The 15,100-nt window shown below is 40.4% G+C and overlaps 1 long non-coding RNA gene across 2 annotated transcripts in view, besides 2 other annotated features; it reads left to right on the forward strand.

Moving 5' to 3' along the window:
• The window catches only part of LINC01483 (long intergenic non-protein coding RNA 1483), a 309,014-nt gene that overhangs the window by 12,906 nt on the left and 281,008 nt on the right, over window positions 1-15,100 (forward strand). The gene's annotated exons all lie outside the window — the stretch shown is intronic.
• Window positions 46-1,245: an enhancer, noted in NCBI's record as "MED14-independent group 3 enhancer chr17:67603079-67604278 (GRCh37/hg19 assembly coordinates)". NCBI's record gives its function as "activates an origin of replication core promoter dependent on BRD2, BRD4, P300/CBP and CDK7 cofactors, and independent of MED14, by STARR-seq in HCT116 cells {active_cell/tissue: HCT116}" and the evidence as "EXISTENCE:reporter gene assay evidence [ECO:0000049][PMID:35650434]".
• Window positions 321-590: an enhancer, noted in NCBI's record as "active region_12659". NCBI's record gives its function as "activates an Ori minimal core promoter by ATAC-STARR-seq in GM12878 lymphoblastoid cells {active_cell/tissue: GM12878}" and the evidence as "EXISTENCE:reporter gene assay evidence [ECO:0000049][PMID:35858748]".

The raw sequence follows: 15,100 nt of genomic DNA on the forward strand, positions 1-15,100 counted from the left end.
AAAATAATTCTTATGCCGGCATATTTTGGGGTGACATATTCTGATCTCCTTCATTGGGAAGCAGTCCCTGAGTGTGAGCCTAGCAAAGACTCTCTTCTTAGAAATCCTCCCTAATTTGAAACATAGTGGTTAAAATTCAGAAGCTGGGTCTCTGTGCACGTTATCTAACTGCTTGGCACACAAAGGTTTGTCAAATAAAAGACAGGCAGGTGATGAATGCATTGAGAATTGTTGTCAATCCTACCTAAAGTTCCACAGACTTAGAGAACATGTCTTTCTACCTGACAACCATTCAGAGCAGTTTGGCTGTTCCAACTCGCGTCCTCAATTTCATCATTCAAAATCTGTGAGACCGATACTGAGCTCTCATGGAAGACTGGCTCATTTAATTGAACAATTTGGAAAACTGTTGAGTTGAGGAAATGTATACAGAAGCTAGGTGGCGCTGGCGGCCACAGGCTGCACAAGATAATCCTCTGCATGTCAGAACATGCCCTGTGCCCAAAGGACACAGCTGTGAAACCTTTCTGAAGAGTTTAGTATCAGATACAGGGAGAATGATTTGAAACAAAAGAGAAATACAGAAATTCCACAGCATCACTTTCAGACTGTCCAACATTACCCATTCCTTCTGACATAAACATGAAAACCCATAAAGCACAATTTGTATTTATCTATTTTCTAAATAAACTCCTCCTGGTCATTTGCTTTTTGAATATTCTGTTTGGTCTCTTTGGTTTTGCAATCACCACTGACTTGGAGCTCCACAGAAAAACCAGAAGTTCCAAAATAGCAATCGGAAGAGAACTTGGTTTCAGTCCCTTTTCCATTAATGCCTATTTTCCACAACCACATAACCTGTGCATTTGGAATATTTTCCCAATAGCACTGGCTTTCATAAGCTGTAGTGACTGTCAGGAAATAAAACTGCTTTGGTGGAAAGACCAGAATTATATAGCTGAGAACACAGGAATGTTAAACCAGCCTTCGAAGTCTTGCAGAATAGGAGAGAACAAAAGTGGGCTGTGTCAGTGAGGCAGGTTTAATAGAAATAGAACATTTATGAATTTCTAGTCACATCTTCTGACCAGATAATCTTCTACAGAGTCATTTAGCTTATGTATGGGAGATACGAATCTTACAAGTGGAAGATGACCATGCCTAAGTCAGAATATAATAGTCTGACAAAATTTTCTGCTTTATGTATGCTTATGGAACTTGTTTTATATATAGACATATCACATTTATATAGTCATTTAATAAATTTCATTCATTGAAAATAATACAAATGCATTACAATGAAAACAATCATTAGGTACGTACTTTTGGTTAATATTTCCAACTGTCCTGAAAGATGTGGTATAAATATATCTGTAATCCCTAGGGGTTTATTGCACAAGAAAAAAAGCAGAGCACACTGTTGATTTTTTTTTTTTTTGAGACATATTGGCTGGTAAAATGTTGATACTAATTAATTCTGAAGTGGAAACAGGCTTACAGGCTGGCAGACGGGTTATAAAATTTTTTTTTTTCCATTGGTCTCAGAATTGCTAGAATCTTTGTTTCAGCACCAGTAGCTCTGGTTTAGGTTAATATTTCTGCCTCCACTCAATACCATGTTATACACCCTCTTGCCTACTGTCAAAGGAGTTTGTTGAAGATAGTTTCTTTACCTGAGAAAGAATACCATTCTCCTTTACTCCTCTTTTACCATGTCTCCTCTTCTACCTGACCAGTGTACATATTTGTCAACTCTTTTTCCAACCTGTTAGCATGTTACTGATGGAGGGCTTCACGGAAGAAGCATGGAGTTGAGAATTTCAACTTTTACTTCTGTTACAGGAGTGGCCTTCAGCCTCACTTAGATAGAAAGGGCCACAATAAACTCAGAGGAGTAATAGGCTCAGAAATGGTGGACAACATACTCATCTTATTTATCACTGGGTTTCTGGCCCTTGATGCAGTACTTGGTATTTAGTCAGTGCTCCTTGCTAAGCTGCTTGTTTGTGTCTGCTTCCACATTCCAAAGATATGAGGATATGAGTTTGAATAGAGTATGAGATAGTTAACAAATATGAAACCAGTGGTATTGAGCACCAACAACATACAGAGCTGTATTAGAAACTGAGAATTGCAAAAAATGATATATTTGTCCATGTTTCCCAAGAGGTTACCTATTAATACATAACTACATATTTGTAAGAAGACATTATAGCATATTGCCTGTGAACCATCTGCCTCAGCTTCTAGTTGTTTCCTCTGATTCAGCTAGCCAAATGCCACAAGAAACCACAAAGCCAATTTGTGTTCTTGGATAACTGCGTGCAACACCCATTAGCTTTCTATGGGCAGGATTTGGCGCAGAGAACTCATCTGTTGCCAGTGCTCAAAAGAAAGTCAGGATTAAATAAACCTATTTCTGTATTCTTACAGGCGTGCCTATGAATCCATGAGGCTACAGTCACGATGGCATACTTGGCAAGCTCAGGGCACTGTTATCTTTTGAATTAATTTTGTGACCTGTTATAAATGCAAGTTCCCTTACTGTGTTTCAAAGGCTTTTTGCTCCCTATTCCAATGTCACAAGTTTTCTTCTATGACAAAGATCGTGTTAGCTTAATTTTTTTGCTACATTGTGATTTTTTTTGATATTGCATTATAGCTCCTTCCCCTTTTGGCATACATGCATTCATAGCTAAATTATGGAGTGACTGGGGTTTCCTTCCCTTGGCATGATTTACCTCTGGTCAGATTATTCCTTGTTGTGGGGGACTGTCTTGTGCATTGTAGGGTATTTAGTAGCATCCCTGGCCCTTGCCACTAGATGCCGCTAGAATTTCCTGCCCCTAAAATGTCTCCAGAATTTGCTAAATGTTGGGATAGGGAAGGATTGCCACCTGTCGAGGACCACTGATTTATATTAATGTAACTTTTCTGCATAAAACCATTAAATACCATTACTCAAGGGATATAAGCTGGCTAATGATTTTCTCTGCGGCATTTAGCAAAAAATCCATCTGGTGAAAATACCAGTGAAGAGGAACAGAAACAATTGTAAATCTTCAAAAATCATTCCTTGAGCAAGAAAATGCCTTGGGCTAGCCACTGCCTTCCCCATTCACCCTGACCCCCACCCCAAATACAACATTTTATTTTTAACCATCTAAGTAAGGCTGATGTTGCTGATGGATAACAGCTGCTGTATTAGTCTGTTCTCACACTGCTATGAAGAAATACCCAAGACTGGGTAATTTATAAAGAAAAGAGGTTTAATTGACTCAGTTCTGCATGGCTGCGGAGGCCTCAGGAATCTTACAATCATGGTGGAAGGCATCTCTTCACAGGGTGGCAGCAGAGAGAATGAATGCAAGCAGGGGAAATGCCAGATGCTTATAAAACCATCGGATCTCTTGAGACTCACTCATTATCACGAGAACAGCATGGGAGAAACTGCCACCATGATCCGATTCCCTCCACCTGGTCCCACCCTTGACACATGAGGATTATTACAATTCAAAGTGAGATTTGGGCGGGGACACAGAGCCAAACCATATCAGCTGCAGAGATCTCTGGGTGGAGTGTTATGTGAGTGAGCTTGCTACAGATTGGAGTGAGCCACTGAACTGTTAGGGGCATTTTTCTGATTAGAATTGCATTCTGCTATCTTTGAGTTTCTGCTGAGGTTGCTTGTCATTACATTGGCAGGCAGATAGAAACTATGAGATATGCTATTGTAAATGCATTATTTTCTCTATTATTTATAGCTGTGAGTAGGTAGTGATATAGGTGGTAAGAAAGCAACATCACAGATTTGATATGGTTTGGATTTGTGTCCCTGCCCAAATCTCCTGTTAAATTGTAATCCCCAATATTGGAAGTGGGGCCTGGTGGGAGGTGACTGGATCATGGAGGTGGAATTCTCATGAATGCTTTAGTATCATCCCCTCTTGGTACTGTGTCGTAAGTTCTCACAAGATCTGGTTGTTTAAAAGTATGTGGCACCTCCCCCGTCCCTCTCTCTCTTGCTCCTGCTCTGGACATATGAAGTGCTGGCTTCCCCTTTGCCTTCCACCATGATTGTAAGTTTCCTGAGGCCTCCCTAGAAACCAAGCAGATGCTGTCATTCTTCCTGTACAGCCTGCAGAATTGTGAGCCAATGAAACCTCTTTTCTTTATAAATTACTCAGTCTCAGGCCTTTCTTTCTTTCTTATTTCTTTTTTTTTGTTTGTTTTTGAGACAGAGTCTGGCTCTGTCACCCAGGCTGGAGTACAGTGGTGTGATCTTGGCTCTTTGCAACCTTCACCTCCCAGGCTCAAGCCAACCTCCCACCTCAGCCTCTAGAGTAGCTGGAATCACAGGTGTGTACCACCACGCGTGACTAATTTCTGTATTTTTTGTAGAGACAGGGTTTCACCCTGGTCTCAAACTTCTGAGCTCAGGCGATCTACCTGCTTCAGCCTCCCAAACCGCTGGGATTACAGGTGTGAGCCACCATGCCCAGCCTAGGTATTTCTTGATAGGAGCGTGAGAACAGACTAATACAAGATTGAAAGGAGGAAGGCCAAGGCAGGTGCTAGTAGTTAGATATATATAAGTGCAGTCGAGAATCAGGAATAAAGCCTTGCCAACTGCCCTCTCAGTAGTTTAAAACCTTCAGAAATCTAAATTTAGCAGTTTTATAGGTGATTACTAAGAATTTGTCTCTGCCAGCCAAAGTCAAGAAAGCAAAGAAGAGAATCGTGGTTGCCAGGGGCTGAGGGGAGGGGAAAATGGGGAGTTGCTAATCAAAGGGCAAAAAATCAGTTATGCAGGATGCATAAGCCCCAGAGATCTGCTATGCAACATTCTGTATGTGCACAGCAATTACTATATTGAACACTTAAGAATCTGGTGGGAGGGTAGATGTGGTAAGTGTTAAGTGTTCCTTACTACATTAAAATTTAAAAAAGAAAAAAAAACAGTATGTATGACCTTGTGGGGGAAAAATAAAAAACCTTTAGGTAAAAGAGGTCAGTTTTTTTTTCCTTTTTTTTTATAATCATTTTTTTAATTTTATTATTATTATACTTTAAGTTTTAGGGTACATGTACACAATGTGCAGGTTAGTTACATATGTATACATGTGCCATGCTGGTGCGCTGCACCCATTAACTCATCATTTAGCATTAGGTATATCTCCTAATGCTATCCCTCCCCCCTCCCCCCACCCCACAACAGTCCCCAGAGTGTGATGTTCCCCTTCCTGTGTCCATGTGTTCTCATTGTTCAATTCCCACCTAGGAGTGAGAACATGCAGTGTTTGGTTTTTTGTCCTTGCGATAGTTTACTGAGAATGATGATTTCCAATTTCATCCATGTCCCTACAAAGGACATGAACTCATCATTTTTTATGGCTGCATAGTATTCCATGGTGTATATGTGCCACATTTTCTTAATCCAGTCTATCATTGTTGGACATTTGGGTTGGTTCCAAGTGTTTGCTATTGTGAATAGTGCCACAATAAACATATGTGTGCATGTGTCTTTATAGCAGCATGATTTATAGTCCTTTGGGTATATACCCAGTAATGGGATGGCTGGGTCAAATGGTATTTCTAGTTCTAGATCCCTGAGGAATCGCCACACTGACTTCCACAATGGTTGAACTAGTTTACAGTCCCACCAACAGTGTAAAAGTGTTCCTGTTTCTCCACATCCTCTCCAGCACCTGTTGTTTCCTGACTTTTTAATGATTGCCATTCTAACTGGTGTGAGATGGTATCTCATTGTGGTTTTGATTTGCATTTCTCTGATGGCCAGTGATGATGGGCATTTTTTCATGTGTCTTTTGGCTGCATAAATGTCTTCTTTTGAGAAGTGACTGTTCATGTCCTTTGCCCACTTTTTGATGGGGTTGTTTGTTTTTTTCTTGTAAATTTGTTTGAGTTCATTGTAGATTCTGGATATTAGCCCTTTGTCAGATGAGTAGGTTGTGAAAATTTTCTCCCATTCTGTAGGTTGCCTGTTCACTCTGATGGTAGTTTCTTTTGCTGTGCAGAAGCTCTTTAGTTTAATTAGATCCCATTTGTCAATTTTGTCTTTTGTTGCCATTGCTTTTGGTGTTTTAGACATGAAGTCTTTGCCAATGCCTATGTCCTGAATGGTAATGCCTAGGTTTTCTTCTAGGGTTTTTATGGTTTTAGGTCTAACGTTTAAGTCTTTAATCCATCTTGAATTAATTTTTGTATAAGGTGTAAGGAAGGGATCCAGTTTCAGCTTTCTACATATGGCTAGCCAGTTTTCCCAGCACCATTTATTAAATAGGGAATCCTTTCCCCATTGCTTGTTTTTCTCAGGTTTGTCAAAGATCAGATAGTTGTAGATATGCGGCGTTATTTCTGAGGGCTCTGTTCTGTTCCATTGATCTATATCTCTGTTTTGGTACCAGTACCATGCTGTTTTGGTTACTGTAGCCTTGTAGTATAGTTTGAAGTCAGGTAGCATGATGCCTCCAGCTTTGTTCTTTTGGCTTAGGATTGACTTGGCGATGCGAGCTCTTTTTTGGTTCCATATGAACTTTAAAGTAGTTTTTTCCAATTCTGTGAAGAAAGTCATTGGTAGCTTGATGGGGATGGCATTGAATCTATAAATTACCTTGGGCAGTATGGCCATTTTCATGATATTGATTCTTCCTACCCATGAGCATGGAATGTTCTTCCATTTGTTTGTATCCTCTTTTATTTCATTGAGCAGTGGTTTGTAGTTCTCCTTGAAGAGGTCCTTCATGTCCCTTGTAAATTGGATTCCTAGGTATTCTCTTTGAAGCAATTGTGAATGGGAGTTCACTGATGATTTGGCTCTCTGTTTGTCTGTTATTGGTGTATAAGAATGCTTGTGATTTTTGTACAATGATTTTGTATCCTGAGACTTTGCTGAAGTTGCTTATCAGCTTAAGGAGATTTTGGGCTGACACAGTTGGGTTTTCTAGATATACAATCACGTCATCTGCAAACAGGGACAATTTGACTTCCTCTTTTCCTAATTGAATACCCTTTATTTCCTTCTCCTGCCTAATTGCCCTGGCCAGAACTTCCAACACCATGTTGAATAGGAGTGGTGAGAGAGGGCATCCCTGTCTTGTGCCAGTTTTCAAAGGGAATGCTTCCAGTTTTTGCCCATTCAGTATGATATTGGCTGTGGGTTTGTCATAGACAGCTCTTATTATTTTGAGATATGTCCCATCAATACCTAATTTATTGAGAGTTTTTTAGCATGAAGGGTTGTTGAATTTTGTCAAAGGCCTTTTCTGCATCTATTGAGATAATCATGTGGTTTTTGTCTTTGGTTCTGTTTATATGCTGGATTACATTTATTGATTTGAGTATGTTGAACCAGCCTTGCATCCCAGGGATGAAGCCCACTTGATCATGGTGGATAAGCTTTTTGATGTGCTGCTGGATTTGGTTCGCCAGTATTTTATTGAGGATTTTTGCATCAATGTTCATCAAGGATATTGGTCTAAAATTCTCTTTTTTGGTTGTGTCTCTGCCCAGCTTTGGTATCAGGATGATGCATGCTGGCCTCATAAAATGAGTTAGGGAGGATTTCCTCTTTTTCTATTGATTGGAATAGTTTCAGAAGGAATGGTACCAGTTCCTCCTTGTACCTCTGGTAGAATTTGGCTGTGAATCCATCTGGTCCTGGACTCTTTTTGGTTGGTAAGCTATTGATTATTGCCAAAATTTCAGATCCTGTTATTGGTCTATTCAGAGATTCAACTTCTTCCTGGTTTAGTCTTGGGAGAGTGTATGTGTCGAGGAATTTATCCATTTCTTCTAGATTTTCTAGTTTATTTGCGTAGAGTTGTTTGTAGTATTCTCTGATGGCAGTTTGTATTTCTGTGGGATCAGTGGTGATATCCCCTTTATCATTTTTTATTGCATCTATTTGATTCTTCTCTCTTTTTTCTTTATTAATCTTGCTAGCAGTCTATCAATTTTGTTGATCCTTTCAAAAAACCAGCTCCTGCATTCATTAATGTTTTGAAGGGTTTTTTGTGTGTCTGTTTCCTTCAGTTCTGCTCTGATTTTAGTTATTTCTTGCCTTCTGCTAGCTTTTGAATGTGTTTGCTCTTGCTTTTCTAGTTCTTTTAATTGTGATGTTAGGGTGTCAGTTTTGGATCTTTCCTGCTTTCTCTTGTGGGCATTTAGTGCTATGAATTTCCCTCTACACACTGCTTTGAATGCGTCCCAGAGATTCTGGTACGTTGTGTCTTTGTTCTCATTGGTTTCAAAGAACATCTTTATTTCTGCCTTCATTTCGTTATGTACCCAGTAGTCATTCAGGAGCAGGTTGTTCAGTTTCCATGTAGTTGAGCGGTTTTGAGTGAGTTTCTTAATCCTGAGTTCTAGTTTGATTGCACTGTGGTCTGAGAGACAGTTTGTTATAATTTCTGTTCTTTTACATTTGCTGAGGAGAGCTTTACTTCCAAGTATGTGGTCAATTTTGGAATAGGTGTGGTGTGGTGCTGAAAAAAATGTATATTCTGTTGATTTGGGCTGGAGAGTTCTGTAGATGTCTATTAGGTCCGCTTGGTGCAGAGCTGAGTTCAATTCCTGGGTATCCTTGTTAACTTTCTGTCTCGTTGATCTGTCTAATGTTGACAGTGGGGTGTTAAAGTCTCCCACTATTAATGTGTGGGAGTCTAAGTCTCTTTGTAGGTCACTCAGGACTTGCTTTATGAATCTGGGTGCTCCTGTATTGGGTGCATATATATTTAGGATAGTTAGCTCTTCTTGTTGAATTGATCCCTTTACCATTATGTAATGGCCTTCTTTGTCTCTTTTGATCTTTGTTGGTTTAAAGTCTGTTTTATCAGAGACTAGGATTGCAACCCCTGCCTTTTTTTGTTTTCCATTTGCTTGGTAGATCTTCCTCCATCCTTTTATTTTGAGCCTATGTGGGTCTCTGCATGTGAGATGGGTTTCCTGAATACAGCACACTGATGGGTCTTGACTCTTTATCCAATTTGCCAGTCTGTGTCTTTTAATTGGAGCATTTAGTCCATTTACATTTAAAGTTAATATTGTTATGTGTGAATTTGATCCTGTCATTATGATGTTAGCTGGTTATTTTGCTCGTTAGTTGATGCAGTTTCTTCCTAGTCTCGATGGTCTTTACATTTTGGCATGATTTTGCAGCGGCTGGTACCGGTTGTTCCTTTCCATGTTTAGTGCTTCCTTCAGGAGCTCTTTTAGGGCAGGCCTTGTGGTGACAAAATCTCTCAGCATTTGCTTGTCTGTAAAGTATTTTATTTCTCCTTCACTTATGAAGCTTAGTTTGGCTGGATATGAAATTCTGGGTTGAAAATTCTTTTCTTTAAGAATGTTGAATATTGGCCCTCACTCTCTTCTGGCTTGTAGAGTTTCTGCCGAGAGATCCGCTGTTAGTCTGATGGGCTTCCCTTTGTGGGTAACCCGACCTTTCTCTCTGGCTGCCCTTAACATTTTTTCCTTCATTTCAACTTTGGTGAATCTGACAATTATGTGTCTTGGAGTTGCTCTTCTCGAGGAGTATCTTTGTGGCGTTCTCTGTATTTCCTGAATCTGATTGTTGGCCTGCCTTGCTAGATTGGGGAAGTTCTCCTGGATAATATCCTGCAGAGTGTTTTCCAACTTGGTTCCATTCTCCCTGTCACTTTCACGTACACCAATCAGATGTAGATTTGGTCTTTTCACATAGTCCCATATTTCTTGAAGGCTTTGTTCGTTTCTTTTTATTCTTTTTTCTCTAAACTTCCCTTCTCGCTTCATTTTATTCATTTCAACTTCCATCACTGATACCCTTTCTTCCAGTTGATCACATCAGCTCCTGAGGCTTCTGCATTCTTCACTTAGTTCTCGAGCCTTGGCTTTCAGCTCCATCAGCTCCTTTAAGCACTTCTCTGTATTGATTATTCTAGTTATACATTCGTCTAAATTTTTTTTTCAGTTTTTAACTTCTTTGCCTTTGGTTTGAATTTCCTCCTGTAGCTCAGAGTAGTTTGAGCATCTGAAGCCTTCTTCTCTCAGCTCGTCAAAGTCATTCTCCATCCAGCTTTGCTGCGTTGCTGGTGAGGAACTGCGTTCCTTTGGAGGAGGAGAGGCACTCTGCTTTTTAGAGTTTCCAGTTTTTCTGCTCTGTTTTTTCCCCATCTTTGTGGTTTTATCTACTTTTGGTCTTTGATGATGGTGATGTACGGATGGGTTTTTGGTGTGGATGTCCTTTCTGTTTGTTAGTTTTCCTTCTAACAGACAGGACCCTCAGCTGCAGGTCTGTTGGAGTTTGCTAGAGGTCCACTCCAGACCCTGTTTGCCTGGGTATCAGCAGCGGTGGCTGCAGAACAGCAGATTTTCGTGAACCGCGAATGCTGCTGTCTGATCGTTCCTCTGGACGTTTTGTCTCAGAAGAGTACCCGGCCGTGTGAGGTGTCAGTCTGCCCCTACTGGGGGGTGCCTGCCAGTTAGGCTGCTCGGGGGTCAGGGGTCAGGGACCCACTTGAGGAGGCAGTCTGCCCGTTCTCAGATCTCCAGCTATGTGCTGGGAGAACCACTGCTCTCTTCAAAGCTGTCAGACAGGGACATTTAAGTCTGCAGAGGTTACTGCTGTCTTTTTGTTTGTCTGTGCCCTGCCCCCAGAGGTGGAGCCTACAGAGGCAGGCAGGCCTCCTTGAGCTGTGGCGAGCTCCACCCAGTTCGAGCTTCTCGGCTGCTTTGTTTACCTAAGCAAGCCTGGGCAATGGCGCACCCGTCCCCCAGCCTCGCTGCTGCCTTGCAGTTTGATCTCAGACTGCTGTGCTAGCAATCAGCGAGACTCCGAGGGCGTAGAACCCTCCAAGCCAGGTGCGGGATATAATCTCCTGGTCCGTGGTTTTTTAAGCCCGTCAGAAAAGCACAGTATTAGGATAGGAGTGACCCAATTTTCCAGGTGCCATCTGTCACCCCTTTCTTTGACTAGGAAAGGGAACTCCCTGAACCCTTGCACTTCCTGAGTGAGTCAATGCTTCACCCTGCTTTGGCTCATGCATGGTGCACTGCAACCACTGTCCTGCGCCCACTGTCTGGCACTCCCTAGTGAGATGAACCTGGTACCTCAGATGGAAATGCAGAAATCACCCATCTTCTGCGTCGCTCACACTGGGAGCTGTAGACTGGAGCTGTTCCTATTTAGCCTTCTTGGCTGCCCCCTCTTTTCTTTAAATTCAATATTTTCTGACCATTGTGAATGGAAGTGGCTTTCAAAGATGGGGCTATGTATCTATTCTAGTCCATTTCCTCACAATCTATCATTATAAGGCTAAATACCATGGGGCACAGAGATGCTTAAGAAAGAAAACTGAAGGAGAGAGGGTGGGGTTTGGAACAGAATTAGCATTTGTTGACCAGGTATCAGTTGATATTATCTCATATATTGTTTGCAAGAAGCCTGTGTCTATTTCCTATTTATAGATGATTAAACAGAGGTGAGAGAAGTTAATAAACATGTCCAGGTTGACAAAACTAGGAAGTGGCAGAGTTGACATTCATATCTTTTTTTGTAGGACTCCAAACCCCACCCCCCCTTTTTTTTCCCCATTAAACCATGAGGCCTCTGGACAAGATGAAGTATCTGACCTTTCAGCTTCTGGTACTGAAGAGAGCATTGCAGGTAGGCATCCTCTTTGATGAGATATGAGATGTCAAACCAACATATTATGATTACACACTATATAACTTCCAAGACATTTGTATATATTGATTATGATCTGGCTACAGGACATAATATTTGACTGCCAAAGATTAAAGTATATTTCGTCTTCTTTTTTTTTTGAGATGGAGTTTCACTCTTGTTGCTTAGGCTGGAGTGCAACGGTGCCATCTGGGCTCACTGCAACCTCTGCTTCCTGGGTTCAAGTGATTCTCCTGTCTCAGCCTCCTGAGTACCTGGGATTACAGGCAACTGCCACTATGCCTGGGTAATTTCTGGTATTTTTAGTAGAGATGGGGTTTCACCATGTTTGCCAGGCTGGTCTTGAACTCCTGACCTCAGGTGATCCACCCGCCTTGGCTTCCCAAAGTGCTGGGATTACAGGTGTGAGCCACTGATCCCAGCCTAGTTAAAGTATATTTCTATTGCTTATTACTTAAACATATAATGCTTAGAAAAGGAAAGGCTGATTAAAGCACACAGTTACAGGAAAATTTTCCAGATATGTTATTTTCTATTTAAAGCAACCATTTAACATTTTATTTGCGGTTCCAGAATTTTGTTTCACAAATATTTCTGAGCCTCACAGAGGCTTTAGATGTGTTATGAAAACTTTACTGAAGTGAACACAGTGGTGTATTACTAAAGGATGGGTGAAATAGAAACCTTTTTTTTTAGCTACATTTCTTATTGATAGATTGAACTCACCTTCTTTGAAGCCCCATTCCCGAAACTATAGATCAGACCCTCAGTGTTGTTATGGAACGTGCTAACGTAGTCCTCTACACAGTCCCATCCTTCCCATGCATGCTACTAAGCTAAGACCTGTGACTGCCTCACCTCCCTTCAACCCTAGTCTGCGAAGAAACTGCCTTTGAACTTCTTAGTGATGGCAGTCTGTCCCCTCGTCACCAGTGCATTCCTGACGATCTTGGTGAAAGCTATCTGTGTTCTCTGGGCTTCCCATGGAACATGCTTATCTGTTGGACCTTCTAGACTCATGTCATTTATCCATTTTAGCAAGTATATTCCCTTAGCTCCTTTATTTCTTCCTCTATCACCTGCTAGGGAAATGCAGGCATTTCTACATTGCTGAAAGCTGACCATTGTTTTTTTCCAGGTTTCTAAGAGCCACAGTAGCAATGAGTTTGTCTCATTCCCTCCATACCTTGCTAGAACATTAAACTGTGTTAAATAAAATACTTCTAATTCAATGAAATCTTGCTTATCCAGCTTTACGTTTTTGTCTCCTTGATCAAGCATCCTCAAATTCAAATCACAGGAGAACTTCCCTGACTCCTGCCAGTTCTTAGGGATGTAGTCTTTTAGGCATATAATTGCTTTCTGCTCCTATCAGACTCAGCATATCCCTAGCCTGGTTATGATGAAATTTTTCCCTATTTAGCAGTCCGGAAGGCAGAAGAGAAGATGTGGCAGCTCCTGAGTGGGGCACTGTATTAGTTTCCCGTGGTTGCTGTAATAAATTACCACAGGCCACTTTGGCAGGTGGATCACGAGGTCAAGAGATTGAGACCATCCTGGCCAACATGTTGAAACCCTGTCTCTACTAAAAATACAAAAATTAGCTGGGCGTGGTGGTGCATGCCTTTAGTCCCAGCTACACAGGAGGCTGAGGCAGGAGAATTGCTTGAATCTGGGAGGCGGAGGTTGCAGTGAGCCGAGATCACGCCACTGCACTCCAGCTTGTCAACAGTGTGAGACTCTGTCTCAAAAAAAAAAAAAATTAAAAAAAATAAATAAATTACCACAGGCTTCGTGACATACAATAATACAAATATTTTGTCTTTTAGTTCTGAAAGTCAGAAGTTCTAAAATCAAGATGCTAGCCAGAGAGAAGTTGTTTCTTTGAATTTTCTAACTCCTGGAAGCCACTTGCCTTTTTTGAGTTATGGCTTCTTCCTCCACCTTCAAGTCCTGCAACATAGCATCTCCATTCTCTCTCTCTCTCTCTGACTTCTGCTTTCATTGTTGTGCCTTCCTCTCTGACACTGACCCTACTGCCTTCCTCTTACAAGAACTTTTTTTATATTTAAATACTTTTTGATGCATTATATTTGTACATATTTATGGGGTACATGTGAAATTTTGTTATATGCATAGAATGGGTAATGATCAATTCAGGGTATTCAGGGTATTCATCACCTAAGGATTTAGCATTTTCATGTGTTGGGTACATTTCAAGTCCTCTTCTGGCTATTTTGAAAAGTATAATACAGTGTTGTTAATTATAGCCACGCTGCTTTTCTATCAAAGATTGAATGTATTTCTTCTATCTAACTGTGTTTGTACCCATTAACCAACTCTCTTCATTCCCTCTTCTACACATACACCCTTTCCGGTCTCTGTTATCTATTATTCCACTCACTACCTCTATATGATCATTTTTTTTTTTTTTAGCTCTCACATAGGAATTAGAATATGGAATACTTGTCTTCTGTGCCTGGCTTATTTCACTTAGCATATTAACCTCAAGTTCCACCCGTCTTGCTGAAAATGATATTATTTCATCCTTTTTTATTGCTAAATAATATTTCATTGTGTATATATACCACAGATTTTTTGTTTTTTTGTTTTTACCCATTCATCCATTGATGGACAGTTACGTTGATTCCATATCTTTGCTATTGTGAATAGTGCTGTAACAAATATGGCAGTGTGGTAATCACTTTGATATATTGATTTCTTTGCCTTTGGATAAATACCTAACAGTGAGACTTCTGGGTTATATAGCAATTCTATTTTAATTTTTTTGAGAATCTTCATACTGTTTTCCATAGTGGCTGTATTAACTTACATTTCCACTAACAGTGTATAAGAGCTCCCTTTTCCCTTTTCTCTGTAATCTCATCAGTATCTGTTATGTTTTGTCTTTTGGTAACAGCCATTCTAACTGGGGTAAGTTATCTCACTGTGGTTTTGGTTTGCATTTCTCTGATAATTAATGATGTTGAACATTTTTTCATATACATGTTGGCTATTTGTATGTCTTCGTTTGAGAAAGGTCTATTCATGTCCTTTGCTCATTTTTAAATGGGATTTTTTTAAAACTGTTGAGTTGTTTGAGTTCCTTGTATACTCTGGATATTAATTCCCTGTCGAATGAGTAGTTTACAAATATTTTCTCCCATCCAAGAGGTTGCCTCTTCACTCTGTTGACTATTTTCTTTGCTGTATAGAAGCTGTTTAGTTTAATGTAGTTCCATTTGCCTATTTTTGTTTTAGTTGCCTATGCTTTTGTGGTCTCAGCCATTAATCCTCTGCCTAGATCAATATCCTTTTAATAGTTTTATAATTTCAGGTCTTATGTTTAAGTCTTTAGTCCATCTTGAGTTGATTTTTGTATATGGTGAGAGATAGGGGTCCAGTTTCATTCTT

The sequence above is a fragment of the Homo sapiens genome, chromosome 17 (genome assembly GCF_000001405.40).
Source record: "Homo sapiens chromosome 17, GRCh38.p14 Primary Assembly".
NCBI lineage: Eukaryota > Metazoa > Chordata > Mammalia > Primates > Hominidae > Homo > Homo sapiens.